Below are 16,589 nucleotides of genomic sequence, written 5' to 3' on the forward strand. Positions count from 1 at the left end.
AAAATCCTGGCTTTTAAAGTTAGACTTACTGGTGTTCATTTTTGGATTTTGAATCGCACTAGCTTTGTGACCTGAAGCAAATCACTTAAGATCTCTGAGCATCAGTTTTCTTTTAGATAATTCATATCTTTCTTGCTATTATATTATTATGCTATTATTGTATATTCCTTTCTATCCTGAGAGTTAAATAATCATCCTATGTATGGGCCTGGTTAATGTTAATAAGGCTAGTTTTCTTCTTTGTTTCCCTGCAGGAATTGGCTTTCATGCTTTATTGATGTCCTTTGATTTGTCAGTATCATTCAAACTTTTCTCTACAAGTCCTCCCACTTGCAAGATATCTCCTTGTAGGTTCATACCCACTCTCTTATTTTCCTTGTAACAAGTTTTTTGATTGAATGTGGATAATAATTTCTGCAGTTTTTAAAGTTGCATTGAATTTTCAGGGAGAACACGCCAAAACCTATGAATAATTCAACATTATCAGAAAAGGTCACCTTTCTGCCCCTCTGCCACAATTTTCTACAAGTTTTTCTTTTTCTTTCTTTTTCTTTCTTTCTTTCTTTCTTTTTTTTTTTTTTTGAGACAGAGTTTCACTCTTATTGCCCAGGCTGGAGTGCAATGGTCCAATCTCGGCTGACCGCAACCTCCGCCTCCCAGGTTCAAGTGATTCTCCTGCCTCAGCCTCCAGAGTAGCTGGGATTCCGGCCATGCGCCACCATGCCCAGCTAATTTTTGTATTTTTAGTAGACATGGGGTTTCTCTATGTTGGTCAGGCTGGTCTCACACTCCCGATCTCAAGTGACTTACCTGCCTCAGCCTCCCAAAGTGCTGGGATTACAGGCATGAGCCACCGTGCCCAGCTCCAAGTTTTTCTTAATGCATTTCTTTGTCTTTCTCAAATGTGTGCTCTAACTGTGCAGCTTCTTTCTCTGTCAACCTTTGATGGTCTTGCACATGAGGAATAAGTTTGGTTGAGTTGAATCCATGAGGAATCTCTGGAAATGGAGACTTGGAGACATTTCCTTGGCTTCTCTAGTTCTAATCCCTTCCTAACTAGCTAGCACTAGCTTCTCAACTATTCAAGAATACAATAATACTGCCGTCTTCAGTCTGTCCTCACTCCAGCTCTTCTAGCCTATGCCTTTCAGCTATGTTTTCATATCTGCATTTGAAACTCTTCCAAACTAAGTCTTTTGAAGTTCAGAATCTGACACAGCATTTTAGTGCACATGGAACACACTGCAATCTGAAAGACCCAGCATTGCAAGCATTTATTGCATTGACCTCTGCAGTGTGCAAGAGGGAGAATTTAGCTCATTGTCAAAGCCTGCACGTTAATCCCCTGCAGCTCGTGTAGCAAAGCACCACAAATTGGATGACTTCCACAACAAAAATGGATTCTCTTACAATTTTGGAGGCCAGAGGTCTGAAGGCAAGGTGTCCAAAGTGTTGGTTCCTTCCAAGGCTATGAGGGACAAACTGCTCCAGGCCTCTTTCCCAGCTTCTGGTGTTTTGCTGGCCACCTTTGGTGTTCCTCGGCTTGCAAACTTCTGTCTTCATCTGCACATCTCTTGTGTGGATGTCTAAATTCTGAGTCCAAGTTCCCTTTTTATAAAGATACTGGTCATACTGGATTAAGGCCCACCCATAGGACCTCAGCTTGACTTGATCATCTGAAAAGACCATTTCTCAATAAGGTCACATTCACAGGTGCTGGAGGTGAGAACTTTAATATCTTTTGGGATGACAAAATTCATCCCATACTAGACCACTCCATTTTTGTTCTTTGCGGTCAAGAATGCTGAATTTTCTTTTCTCACTGACTAAGAAGAATGTCAATAGGCGATGTCTACAGGACTGAAACCCAAGTGCCACCTTCTCTCATCTGCACAGAGGCAGGAACAGCTGAAGTTCACTTTCACAGGTCCCTATAAATAACTCATTTCCTCAGGCACCAGGCCTCCTGCTCTCCCTAACTGGAAATTTGGTCAGAGGAAAGGGCTGCAATTTGCTAAAGTAATTACCAAAGCTGTGGATGGATAATTCAAGTTTAGATCATACCATTTGAAAATGTTAGTGTATCCTTTACATTTTGAATACCATTTATCTTCCAGCATTATTCTGAAATATATATTAAAATATTTTCTGCTGACTATATTTACTGCAATCGTTCCTCTTCAGTTGTTTCACATCTGGAAAATATGTGTGAGAATTGTTTCTTTGGGGATTCATGTATTTTTTTAAAATGTAGATGATGTAAATCCTACACAGAGTCCATGAATAAGCAACTATTTAGGAGGTGCTGGGCACAGATACCCCACAGAGATTCTCTGGAATTCACAGCTCAACCCTGCAATGTGGATAGGATGGTGCCATTTTGTAGTCTCAGAGAAACTGTGATAGGCTCATTCCCATGAAGCTGAAGGCTTGCCATGCTGGGTCTTTCAGATTCCAGTGTGTTCCATGTGCTAAGAGCTGTGACTTTTCTAAGAATATAGCCCAGAGTGGGGTTGTCTCTGAAGTCAGCCTGCCTAGGCTTGGATCCAGGCCCCAACACTAGATAAGTGAACCTAGACAAGTGACGTAATCACTTAGTGCCTCAGTGTCTCACAACCAAATACATGGTATTTATTCGTAGGGTTGTTGTGAAAATGACATGAAATTGTGTTGATAAAACATCTAATATAGGGCCTGGCACACAAGAAGTATATGATACATAGTAGCATCACGTATGTAATTGTCAACAAAGAGTCAATCTCTGTAAAATATTTAAAGAGATTTATTCTGAGCCAAATATGAGTGACCAATGCCTGTGATACAGCCCTCAGGAGATCCTGAGAGCATGTGTTCAAGGTGCTCAGGACACAGCCTAGTTTTATACGTTTTAGGAAGACATGAGACATCTGTCAGTACATGTAAGATATACATTGGCTTGGTCTGGAAAGGCAGGAAAACTTGAAGTGTTGTCTGGGGGAAGTGCTTCTAGGTTATAGGTATATTTAAAAATTTGCTGATTGGCAACTCATTGAAAGAGTTATTAGCAATAGAAAGGAATAAATGTCTGAATTATAATAAGGGGTTGTGGAGACCAAAGTTTTTTCATGCAGATGAAGCCTCCACGTAGCAGACTTCAGAGAGAATAGATTGTAAATGTTTCTTGTCAGACTTAAGGTCTGTGTTGATGTCAAATGGTGGTTGGCTTTTCCTGAATTCCAAAAGGGAGGAAAGAATAATGAGGCCTGCCCGAACCCCACTTCCCATTCTGGCCTGAACCAGTTTTTCAGGTTAACTTTGGAATACCCTGGCTGAAAGGAGAGGTCCATTCAGATGGTTGGCTTTAGGATTTTATTTTTGGTTCACGTAGTGAAGTAATAAGGTGGTAGAAAATAAACATATTATAACTTACTACAAAATAAGGGCAATTTAGGGAAGGAGAAGCCACTGTCTGTTGGAACCAAAGTCTCATCCTCTTAATTATCCTGCTGTGTTTTCTCTATTCTAAAGGCAGGAAAGTTGCCCTCTTGCTCAGGCAGCCAAGGACATCCCAATTCATTTACCTCACCACACGTTTTTGCACCTCCTGTGATGACATAAATCCACTCACAGTTGTGGGAAGAGGTGGTGGTCCTTGGCAGAATGTGTTCTTGGCACAGGGGATTTGAGCTGAAATGTGTCCTGGTCATGCTGAGGTCCATCCAGTATGGCCGTGCCAGTTTTGCTCCAACTCAACTTTTCCACATTCAGGTGACCCTGAAAGGATGCAAAAAGTTTGCTTTTGTTAAAAGTGCATTCTAAAAATCTAAAAGTGACACTCCAAAGCTATTGCTGCTTCTCCAGGGATGGCTAGAAATAAACATGCTCACTATCAGCTTTTTGAAAGTACCTTTGGGCCACATGGAGGAGCAGAACTGTTGTGTGGATTTTAACTTCGGTAACTGTATTTAAATTGCCATCCGGCCTTGCAGCCTGAGGAATTCCAGGAAGCATTGTGTGATTTCACACTTAAATTGGTAAAGTGAGGTTGCACATGAAAGCCTTCCTATCCCAGAACCTCACAACATGAACAGAGAATGAGCTATAATGGAAATGAGAGGAAAGAAGAGGCAGTGAAAGAAGGCAGGAGAAAGGACACCAGCACACATTTAAAATGAATTGTTTGATGAATAGGTGGCTCACCATTAAGCAGAACAACGAATTATCTAAAAATATTCAAAACACAGCATGGTGCAGCTCCACATAGCTCTTCTCTTTGTGCTCCTGGCTGTGCTTGGAAAGAGCTAAGACGGTCCTGACCAGCTCATGTGATCCCTGGACTGGGAGAAGTAACAGGAGAGGGGTGCGTGTGACCTTTTCCACACTCCTCATTCTATAGGAACAACAACCGCAAAACCAAAACACAACCCTCAGGGAGTCTATACTGGTGACTTCCTCAAGGGAGAAAACAGGGAAAAAAGGGAACAAAAGGGCCTACTTATCTTGAGTAATAAATTAAAAATTAGGGGAATAGATTGTAGGTAAGAAATACACACAGAGAGAACATCTCAGAAAGGCCTTGTGGAGTCCTCTCACAGGGGCCCAGTCACCTTCCATCAAAGCCATTTTTGCTTCCAGGAGGGGCAATAGGTGTGGGGATGGAACAGTCAGGTGAGGGCAGGGATCAGTCCATTCAGCTGGAGAGAGGCTGCAGGTACAAGTTCCTACCCAGGAAGGAGGACATAACCTAAAGAAGGTAAAATGTCAAATCAGGTTGGGCTAAGCATGTAATCCCAGCACTTTGGAAGGCTGAGGCAGGCGGATCACCTGAGGTTGTGAGTTTGAAACCAGCCTGACCAACATAGAGAAACCCTGTCTCTACTAAAAATACAAAATTAGCCGGGTGTGGTGGCACATGCCTGTAATCCCAGCTACTCGGGAGGTTGAGGCAGGTGAATCGCTTGAACCTGGGAGGCGGAGGTTGCAGTGAGCTGGGATTGTGCTACTGCACTCCAGCCGGGGTGACAGTGTGAGACTCTGTCTCAAAAAAAAAAAAAAAATTCTATGTTACATGCAGTTGTCCTGTCTACTTAGGCCCTGCTTGGCTGTAATAATTTCTTAGACTTTCTTTGTTTTTGATAACCTTGACAGTTTTGAGGAATACTGGTCAGATATTTTGGAAAATGTCTCTCAATTATAATTTATCTCATTTTTAAAATAATTAGACTAGGGTTATGAAGTTTTTAAAGGAAAACCATGGAGGTAAATTGCTATTCTCAACACATCATGTCAAGAATACATGCTATCAACATGACTTATACTGTTGATGTTGACCTGGCCAACAAAGTGTTTGTCAGATTTCTCCACTGTAATGCTACTTTTCCCCACTTTCCATACTCCATGGTTAGTTTCAGTTGGTTAGATTGTCTCCTCAGTCTAGCAATGCCTTTAGAGAAGGTCCTGTATGGGTAAGGCTGCTGATGGGGGTGCAGAGCCACTGCTAAGATCTGCACAACTGTCACTATGAGTCCTTGCCTCTTTCCCCATTTGTAGCTAACCCCACGCTCTAGTCATGCCAATTCTCCCAGTGTTTCACATGAGGCAAGTCAGAGGTGCACCTCTTAGTTACTGCCCCCAAATGCTAGGAGAACTGAACATAAGCCTTAGTCTCTCTTTCTCCCACTTGGTAAATCAAGGGTCAAGGGAGTCCTTCTTAGTGTGTGGCTGTGTCATCTTGGGGGAGAAGCAACACAGACAAAGTAAATCTGCTTATTGTACCCTACTTGATGCAGTTTTTGGGCTCCACTGGCATGCTACTGCCTTTCTACTGGGCTCCTGGATTCTCACAAAGGCATTCCCAACTATGGATAGTTGCTAAGTTGGTGTTTCTGTCAGGGGACTAGGGGTGGGGCCTTCCTATTCCACCATATTGCTGATGGCACTCTCTCTTTCACTTTTGAAAAAAAAAATTACTTTTTGGATATAGAATCTAGAATATAGAATTCTGGGATATAGAATTTTAGGCTGCTGAAAAAAAGATTTCAAACCTTTGTGTGGTTCATTGTACTCTATTCATGCTTGCATGGACCTTGATGAGAACACTGCTGTAATTGTTATTCTTGTTTCACTATATATAATATGTATTTTTCCTTCAAGATTTTGTCTTTGATTTTCTGCAGTTTGACTAAGATAGGCCTAGATGTGTTGTTTTTATTTATCCTGCTTGGTGTTTATGTTTTAGGGCCTATATCCTTCAATGAGTAACAGGGAATACAGGACAGAGAAATAGTTAAATAAGAGTATATGGAAAGATGGTGCAAAAGACATGGAGGACAAGTCAGAGAAGGACTGACAAGTAGCACAACTTTTAACCTAATCCAGTACTCACTTTTCAAAACATATATTTGTTATTGTTGTTCTATACAGCTGTGTGTATCTGTATTACATATACGTGGTAGAAATAATGTGAAAACCTTTAAAGCAAGCTGCATTGATGGAATTCACTGATATCCCTATGTTTCATGTGTTTCCAGTAGCTTGGTAACATTTGACTCTCCATTTGTTAAAAGAAGTCTCAAATCTTCTCCCAGCTCTTGCAATTGGTTCCATCACTTTTTTTTAGTAACCACCCTACTGCACTGAAACCATCTTTAGCAAAATACAGAGTTGGAAATAGGGCTAAATAAGTAATTTAGCTTCTTTCCAAATGAGTAGGTGTGAAGATCTTAAATGCAAAATCTTTTCTAACTATACTAGTTGAAAGATATTTTGGTCTCAAAGTCACTTATTTAACTTCCTGTAAATCATTAACATGTTTCTTTGGCCATTTTAAATGAATTAATGATCAGGTCTAGTATATTAAGCTAATAGAAAGATTTAAATCAATTATTATACATTTTAAGTAATATTATAACCAATATATTTCCAAACAAAAACCATTAAGTGTATCTTCATGCAATTCTCAGTGAACAAGTTTATGTACAATACACATATTGATAGCTCCTTTGAAGTATCTAATTTCCTTAGAACTTGGGAAGGATCTATTTAACATTTTAAATGTGCCTGAGAAATATGTCCCATATTTTCTCAATAATTCAGCTTTAACATATAATTTTTAAGACAAATTTAAAAGTTATTCAACAGCAACAAAAAGTGAATAAGATCTTATTTTTTTTTTTTTTAAATGGAGTCTCACTCCATCGCCAGGCTGGAGTGCAGTGGCGCTTTTTTGACTCACTGCAACCTCTGCCTCCCGGGTTCAAGCGATTCTCCTGCCTCAGCCTCCTGAGTAGCTGGAACTACAGGCGCCTGCCATCTCCATTTTTAGTAGAGATGGGGTTTCACCATGTTGGCCAGGATGGTTTCAATCTCTTGACCTCGTGATCCGCCCATCTCGGCCTCCCAAAGTGTTGGGATTACAGGCATGAGCCACTGCGCCCAGCCAAGATCCGTTTTTTAAGCATTCTCCTTAGCAGAGCTACTTCCTTTGCTATACAGAATAAGACATCCAAATACGTCTTTATTGTCACTGCAAGTTCATAAAATAATCTGTCATTCGGAGGTGCATTTTCCATGCTACTGGGTGCACTAGCAACGCTGGAGATTCCTGTGACCTTTCACTAGGATTCTTGACATCTTTGTGTTGATGAGCATAAGTTAAGCAATTGCTTAAAAACCTGGTGCAGTTTTTTAAAGTCCTCCTGCAATCCACTCACCTCATTCTCCATGGCTGTTGTTCCATCTGCAGCAGAGGCGATGACTCTGAGAAATGCACTGTTTTAATAAATTTTAAGAGTTTCAGGCAATGGAAATGTGTTTATATTCATTGTCAGTAATTTTGAAAGTAACATTTCCTCTGTGGCTTTTCATCCCTTACAAATTTGACATATGCAAGCAGTAAACCTTCATTATCACCTGAGGTGTTTCTTTTTCTTCACTTACAATGCAAATTTACTAAATGGCAGTACATTATTAAGTTGTATTTAAATCTTTCCCCACCTCAAAATTTTTTTGAAGCATGAAAGTTGCTTGTTGAAAAAGAAAACAATTATCTCCTTGGAATTTATTTCCATTTAGTATTAATAATCATTCATACAGCTAATATGATAACTTTTCTCTAGTATTATATAGTTTGCCATATTTTACATTAATTTTTTACCTTAGTTTTACCTAAGAAGCAATGAAATATCTTCTTTCTTTCTGATCCAAAAATGCCTTCAATATTTTAGTTACATTATTACTTTTGTCAAATTGTTACAGGAAAGGGGTTCTGGTCCAGACCCCAAGAGAGGGTTTCTGGATCTTACACAAGAAAGAATTCAGGGCAAGTCCATACAGTAAAGTGAAAGCAACTTTATTAGGAAAGTAAAAGAATAAAAGAATGGCTACTCCATAGAAACAGCAGCCCTGAAGGCTGCTTTGCCCATTTTTATGGTTATTTCTTGATTATATCCTAAACAGGGGGTGGGTTATTCACGCCTCCCCTTTTTAGACCATATAGGGTAACCTCCCGGCGTTGCCATGGCATTTGTAAACTGTCATGGCGCTAGTAGGAATGTAGCAGTGAGGACAACCAGAGCTCACTCTCATCACCATCTTGGTTTTGGTGGGGGTTAGCCAGCTTCTTTACTGCAACCTGTTTCATCAGCAAGGTCTTTATGACCTATATCTTGTGCTCCTATCTCATCCTGTGACTTAGAATGCCTTAACTGTCTGGGAATGCAGCCCAATAGGTCTCAGCCTTATTTTACCCAGCTCCTATTCAAGATAGAGTTGCTCTGGTTCAAACCTCTCTGACAAAATCATGTCTTCATATCTTGTAAGTTCAATAGATATTTGACATCTCTCTTTATCAAAGTATTTTTGGAAAATGTTTGCCTAATTTATGGTTTTATTCTGTTTTTTCAAAATAAATTTTGAAACAAAATCACTACTGAGAATCTAACAATGCTATTTGGTAATTTATTCTTATATTTAACATTTTAAATAAAATCTAAATTTGCATATTTTCCTGTATAGGTAGATCACCATAATCAGGAGAGTTACAAGTGCAAATTGATAAAGAGTGCTTTATCAGTAAGTCAAATACCAGGAATAAAATTCTTGATGACAGCATGCTTTTCCAAAATAATGGACAATTCTTGGTAAAGTGCCAAATAAAGCAATATGTAATTTTCCCTTAATTTCTATGGTAGATCCGTTTGTGTGACGTTCAACACATATTACAATTGTGTGAAAGCATCATACTTACATGTAAAACGGGCCTCCGTCATTTTTTCAGCTTCATCATTTTCACTGAAACATTCAAAGTAAACTGGAACACAGCATGGTTTTCTAGGGTACAGAAAGGTATATCTCGATTTTGGAGAATTCTAGATGTGGACTGACTAAAAGTCCCAGTCCTCATTCTCTAAATGCTCAGAAAATTTCCAAAATTCCCTGAAGAGGAGATATTACCTCCTATGGGAACCACTGATATCTCACAACCACTCATATCTTTGCAACCTCAGAGTAACAGTGCTCCAGTTTACAAAAAGAAAACTGAGATTCAGAATGGGGAAAAAATGCCCTGTATAGTTACATAACTAATACATAGTAGAGATGGAATTAAAATTCAGGTCTGTGTACTTCAGAGACAAGCCTTTTCCACTAGAACCTGCTGGTGCCAATCTCTTTTGATTAAATAAATAGGTGAATCCAAAATTAATAAATGGACTCATCATTTGGCCTTAAAGATCTTTTGCCATCCCAACCGCTCCTTGAAGGGAAGGAAATTGAGGCCCACACAGACTATTGCACTTTCTAATATGGGAAGTCTTGTCCACACTACAGTGACCATATTTCACAAACCCAACATGTTTTCTTGGATGGACTTAAAGCCACTGGATACAAAAATCACTACTATTTTAATTGCACGACTCTTTATTGCTTCCTTGTATTTTGTGAACTGATAATGAGTCACAGTGATATTGCAGAATTGTGATTTTTTTTTTGGCTGTGAGGTTTGAAAAATTAAACAGGTTGAGGTTGAACTAATTTTGCTAATGTGACCTTTTAATGTTTAAAAACTGCATAATTCCCCTCAAAAACAAGTTCCTCTTGCTTTTACTAGGAAAATGATACTGATAAAATATAAATTAAATCAACTTGATAGACAGACTGGGCAACTCAACACAAAACACCTAATTAATTGCCAACAATGAAGTTTCATGTGAAATATGATAAAATGACATAACACTGCATTTGAAACAAGATAATTTCCAGAGAAAGATTTTAAAAGCAGTTTCTAACTGATAATGTGTGAAAAGTTAATTAAATGCAATCACTAATTATCATTATTGCCCCATTTAGAAGAAAGCATCAAGTACAAGAGTATTTTTCATATCTCCCTAATTTAATCCTTATGAAGCATATGTTACTTTTTCAATTTTACATATGAGATAAGTGAGGCTGAGAAAGTTAAAAGGAACTGTAGGATCAGGGATCGCAAAGCCAGTAGTGTCAGACATGATAATCCAATCCTGGTATGTTTTGCTCCAAAGGCTACATCTCAAACTTACAATATGCTGTTTATTTATGGACAATGCAGCTCCAACGTGTGTGTTAAATGTGAACTAAAGAAGTTATAATATGTGTTATGCATTTATGTGGCCCAAATGTCCTTGTGTTAACCAAGCCATGGCTATAAAACAAAGCTATGCTTTTTTCTTATTAGTTCGAATTTTATTGAAGCAACCATGCACACGATTTTTTTAAAAAACACTAATAAAAACTGAATGGGAATTTTCTTACCTCTGCTGTGCTGAGGCATGAAGACAGTAGATGCATCATTTTAAAGCAGGGCCAAGATGAAAAAGTTGGAAAATTGGTGTACTAGGAACCCTGCATTTCTCTCCTTAGCTTACCACTTCTTCCTATGCAAGAGGCTGGGCATGCTGCAAAAGGAAAGAATTCAGAGGAGAAGAATTTTAGAGCAGGGCTGGGGTTTCCCCTCCTCCCAGTTCAGATATGGAGTAGGGGCTTGCCTTTGCCTTCTGGCTTAACAATGTTTTGCGGTTGGTGTCTGACTCCAGCCTGGAAAATCTAAAGAGTTAGAGAAGGTCTGGAGAATAGCCAATGGATGAGCCAAGGGGAAGTGGTTGTGTCAGAGGCATTTGAACCAGAGTGACTCCATCTTGAGTAGGGGCTGGATAAAATTAGGCTGAGACCTACTGGGCTGCATTCCCACATGGTTAAGGCATTCTAAGTCACAGGATGAGATAGGAAGTCGGCACAAGACACAGGTCCTAAAGACTTTGCTGATAAAACAGGTTGGAGTAAAGAAGCCAGTTAAAACCCACCAAAACCAAGATGGCCATGAGAGTGACCTTTGGTCATCCTCACTGCTACACTCCCACCAGCACCATGACAGTTTACAAATGCCATGGCAATGCCAGGAAGTTACCCTATATGGTCTAAAAAAAGAAGGCATGAATAATCCACCCGTTGTTTAGCATATAATCAACAAATAACCATTAAAAATGGACAACCAGCAGCCCTCGGTGCTGCTCTGTCTATGGAGTAGCCATTCTTTTATTCTTTTACTTTCCTAGTAAACTTGCTTTCACTTTACTATGGACTTGCCCTGAATTCTTTCTTGCACAAGATCTAAGAACCCTCTCTTTGGGTCTGGATCGAGACCCCTTTCCTGTAACAGTTGCATCAGGAAAACTGCCAGGCAAAAGTTGCATAAATGTTTCCTCTGGACTGTCCAGATGGAAGAGAGTACCAGCTTGGATCATCATAGGTCCTGTTCACGAGGGTCAGAGGAAAAGGAAGTCAGATTTCAGCAGAGAGATGCTGCAGGATGTCTAGAGCGTGGGGCAGGAGGAAGTGAAGAGTGGTAGGAGTGTGCATCTCTCAAACAGAGACCTGAGATTGAGTACCTGTGATCTGGCAAATACAGGTTGACCCCAATCCATGCCACATGAGCTGAGGGGTCATCACAGTGTGTACTGCCCAAATTTCTGGCCCACAAACTATGAGATATAATAAAATTATGGTTACTTTAAGCAGTTATATTCTGAGATGTTTTGTTACACATCAAACAAGTCACTTCGAAGAACCATTAAAAACAATCATTAGAGATGAAGTTAATTTAAAACATCTGCCAGACACAGGGCCTGAGCCCAGATAATAATAACACCAAGTAGGTGAAAATGTCTCATGCTCTTTCCCATCTCCAAAGAGAAGTAGAAGCTCTAAATTATCACAGAGAGACTGAACCTGACCTCATTCCCAGAAAGACTGGATTGCCCTATCAGCAGCAGACATTCAATGCTTTAGTTACATGTTACTGACAACGTTAATTATTGATCAGAGGATTTCATGTTACCCAAGAAAGAACAAATTTGTGGGCCTGCTCAAGTTTTCATCAAAGGCTGGAAAAAAAACTTGTTCCAGAAAATAAATTTTAAAAGGAGAGATATTTTATATTGCACACCATAAGTTATGCTATTTCAACATATCAAAGAACTAGAGCAAACCCTTTCAACTTCTTTAGTTGTGTCTTCCTGTATTCAAATATATTTCTTCTAAATACTGCAACTGCATGAGAGATTCCAAGGCAGAGTAGCCCAGCTGAAGTCAACCCAAAGAACTGTATAATTGCATACATAATCTGTATGATTATGATGACCTGTAGTTATCCAACATTGGAGCCTGAAGAAAAATTCATGGAGACAATCTGTAAAGAATTTGGGAGAAACATCCAGGCACTATCATAAGATCACAGTTTTGTTTTTGTTTTTGTTTTGAGACAGGATCTCACTCTGTGCCCCAAGCTGGAGTATAGTGGCGTGACCTTGGCTCACTGCCGCCTCAATCTCCTGGGCTCAAGGGATCCTCCCACCTCAGCCTCTCAAGTAGCTGGGACTACAGGCATGTACCACTATGCCTGGCTAATTTTTTGTAGTTTTTGTAGAGATGGGGGGTCTCACTGTGCTGCCCAGGCTGATCTTGAACTCCTGGGCTCAAGCAATCCTCCTGCCTTAGCTTTCCAAAATGCTGGGACTACAGACATGAACCACCACACTCGGCTGATCACTGTTTTAGGAGTCAGACTGTCCTATGTTTGAATAGTGCCTCTGCTGCTTATTAGCTCTATTCTTCATCAACCAAAAATTTTAATTAAAGGATCAAATCAGTGTTAGACCCAGCTAGGTATTAGAGGCACCCCAGTACATAGTGGCCAGTGACTGGCACAGAGTGAAGGAATGAACTTACTATGCTTCAGCCTCAGTTGCCCTGTGTGCAATGAGGATCCCAACTCCTCATCTTCTGGCCGAAGATAAGCATTAAATAAAATGATTAATGTGTGATATGGTTTGGGTCTGTGTCCCCACATAAATCTCAAATTGTAATCCCCAGTGTTAGAAGACAGGCCTTGTGGCAGATGATTGGATCATGGGGGTGGATTTCCCCCCTGCTGTTCTCATAATAATGAGTGAGTTCTCATGAGATCTGGTTATTTATAAAAGTGTGTAGCACCTCTCCCTTTGTTCTATACTTCCTTCTCTGGCCATGTAAGATGTGCCTGCTTTCCCTTCACCTTTCTCCATGATTGTAAGTTTCCTGAGGCCTCTCCAGCCATGCTTCCTGCACAGCCTGTACAACTGTGAGTCAATTAAGCTTCTTTTCTTTATAGATTGCTTAGTCTCAGGTAGTGGTTTTTTGTTTCGTTTTGTTTTGTTTTTGTTGTTGTTGTTGTTGTTGTTGTTGTTGTTGGAGACAGAGTCTGGCTCTGTCGCCTAGGCTGGAGTGTAGTGGCGTGATCTCAGCTCACTGCAACTTCTGCCTCCCAGGCTCAAGCAATCCTCCCACATCAGCCTCTCAAGTAGCTGGTACTACGGGTATGTGCCACCAGCTTTGCTAATGAGGTACTTCTTCATAGCAATGTGAGAACAGACTAACACGATGTTGACAAACAGGCCCACTATTCACACCTAATAAAGGATAATAGCCATTTCGTTGTATTTTGTTTGCAGAAGACAAAACCAACCTGGTGAACCAAAGGGGTTTCCAGGTTTAAAGAAAATTCTTTAATGAATTTCTTTAAAGAAATTCTTCCCTAAAGAAAATTCTCTCTTCTCTCCTCCCTCTAGGCCCATTTTTTTCCTTTCATATTTTAAATTTTATTTGCACTTCTGTTAACAATCCCTTTAGTGAATGTCTATATGGGAATCTCTGTGGACAAGGAACTACTTTGACCATATTACCAGCCTCCTTGGTGACATGACAAGTGAAGCCTTCACCACCAGGGAGAGGCTAGAGTCAGAAGCTTCTCAGTGTGTCATTTCCAAAACCTCCACTTATCCGCAATAGCATTTTCAAAACAAAGGGGAAACAACACCTCTTTCCAGGGGCAGCTGAAAAATTAGTTGTTGATATTAAATCAATTAATAAATACAAAGCCTAAGAAAATGATTTATGGATAAAAAGTGATTTTTTTTCAACAAATTTGTGGTTAAAATGCATGTGTATAATACATGATCTTATCATCTAGCTAGTTATACAAGAAATTTTGAGAGATATATTGTCAAAACTATCAACCACATGATTGTGGGAGCCTTACCCAGGGCATGAAGTTGGCTCATCAAACCTTAATCCACACTGGTGATTAGAAATGAGCTTGTTTAGTATGAATGCTTTTAGGAGCAGCATGCGTACTGCAATTCATTGCACTTCCCTACCCCTACTTTTTGCCTTGTACCTGGTCACTTACAAGTGTCAATTGGTCTACTTACCCTTCCAGGCATTTGGGTTGGTGACCCCTTGGTCTTCTGCAGCATTGTTTCTGGAATCTGCACCATCTTGTCTATTCTTTTAAAGAGTTATTTAACTTTATTCAATTCCTTTAAAAATACATAATTTAAGAATTTTGATTTTTTGACAATTTAACAACAGCACATAACAATGTGTGAGTAATAAATCTGTTCAATGGTGTCTTTAAAATTGCACGTGCTTTGAGAGATGCCTGTTGGGTTGCATTTTCTGCTGAATCCCCTCAGTATAAAGTCCCATAATGGAGACACAGGGAGAGTTGCAATCTCAAGATGCCTAACGTCATGGGGGAGAATGTCCTCTTGTGACTCTCCAAAAGCCAGATTTAGGGACTTCAAGTTTAAGATGGTGGAATGAAGTGAGAAATCTAAATCTACCTCTCACAAAACCTAAAACAAAGAATGGCAAATAAGAAAAATCAGAAGCCAGTCCCAACAATAGCAACTCAACAAAAGAAAGGGCATCTACCCCACCACATAGAAAGGCAGAAATTTTGAGGCTTTCCCTCAGGTTGGTTTAACGTCTTACCACAGTCTCAACTCTGCATTTGAAGGGACCACTACAAAGGAGAGGTTAGAAGCAAAATTCTGGGGGGTGGAAAATCATAAATAACCCCCACCTTGGAGAAATGACACGTAGGTGTGGCTCAGGCAGGACTGAGAACTCACTAGAAAATGTCCACACAGGGCAAACTTCCCCAACCCTCGTCATTTCCCATCAGAGCAGAGGAGTACAAGCAGAAAGGCCACAAAAGCAGAGATAATTATCTCCTAAAATTAAATAGCAATTAGTCAGAGAGAAAATGAATGACAGGAAAATTCTCTGTCAGCAGGAAATGGGAGAATAGGACCAGGAAAGAAGCAAGTAAAACCCCTGCAGGCTCTGTGGGCCTATCGCTGGGGCCCCAGTCTACTTCCATAAGCCTTTCCAGTCTTCTGCTCCAAGTAGATCTAAGGTCATGCTGGAGAGAGGTGAGAGAAGCTAGGTAGGGAAACACTACCAGCAACCTCGCTCTCCCTTAAGACAACTGGGGTTGGGTAGAAAGAACCATCAGAAGCTGAAGGTATCCTGTACTAGAAGAGAGGTGCTGATGGTGTTTCTGACCCCAGCAGGCTACAGGAAGCTGGATGAGAGACAGTGAAGGAAGCCTCAGGAAAGCTAGCACAGCCCAGCCATCCTCCCCTGCACCCTCCAGCCATCCACCCCTACACCCTCCTGATGCAGAAAACCCAAAGCCAGCCCAGCCCGGCCATCCACACTGGCACTTTTCTGATGCAGAGACCTCAGAAAACCCAGAAAGGCCAGGGAAATCTCAGAGAAACCCTAAAATTCAAAGAGGAAGACAGCTAGGTCTCAGAGAGGGTAGAGAAGGCACGTGGGAAAACCCATCTACACTGAATCTGGATGGAAAAATTTACCGAGACAGAACTACCCACATTAAGCATGGGCAATATGGAAAAAATAATGGTATTTACACAGTTATAGTGCAACATAAATGATTAAAAGAAGAAAAAAGAGTGATGCAAAGAAAATATAATATAAAATTGTATATGTAAAGATCTATTCCAGAAGGAAAGAGGCAGCTGAGATAAAAATTTTGAATCAAAACATCCCCAAAGTATGCTTGATTAATGAAATAGTAAGGAGTATAATAGGCTTGCTGCAAAGCCAAGTCGTTTATGAAGAGGAAAGGTATGAGGCTTTCCCCATGAATACAGAAGGAAAAAGCCAAGTTGACACAGGCAATTGGAGAGAAGCTAACATGAATGGAGAGCTGGCACGTCTAATACAAA

The 16,589-nt window shown here is 40.2% G+C and overlaps 1 long non-coding RNA gene across 1 annotated transcript in view; it reads right to left on the reverse strand.

Annotated features, from left to right (window-relative positions):
• The window catches only part of LINC01501 (long intergenic non-protein coding RNA 1501), a 120,315-nt gene that overhangs the window by 35,600 nt on the left and 68,126 nt on the right, over window positions 1-16,589 (reverse strand). The window contains exons 2-5 of the long non-coding RNA NR_034157.1: window positions 10,768-10,910; window positions 9,227-9,309; window positions 7,692-7,749; window positions 3,608-3,753 (exon numbers count right to left, since the gene is read on the reverse strand). This is a non-coding gene — a long non-coding RNA (long intergenic non-protein coding RNA 1501). The remainder of the gene's footprint in view (window positions 1-3,607; window positions 3,754-7,691; window positions 7,750-9,226; window positions 9,310-10,767; window positions 10,911-16,589) is intronic.

This window comes from Homo sapiens, chromosome 9, assembly GCF_000001405.40.
Source record: "Homo sapiens chromosome 9, GRCh38.p14 Primary Assembly".
In the NCBI taxonomy this organism is placed as follows: Eukaryota; Metazoa; Chordata; class Mammalia; order Primates; family Hominidae; genus Homo; species Homo sapiens.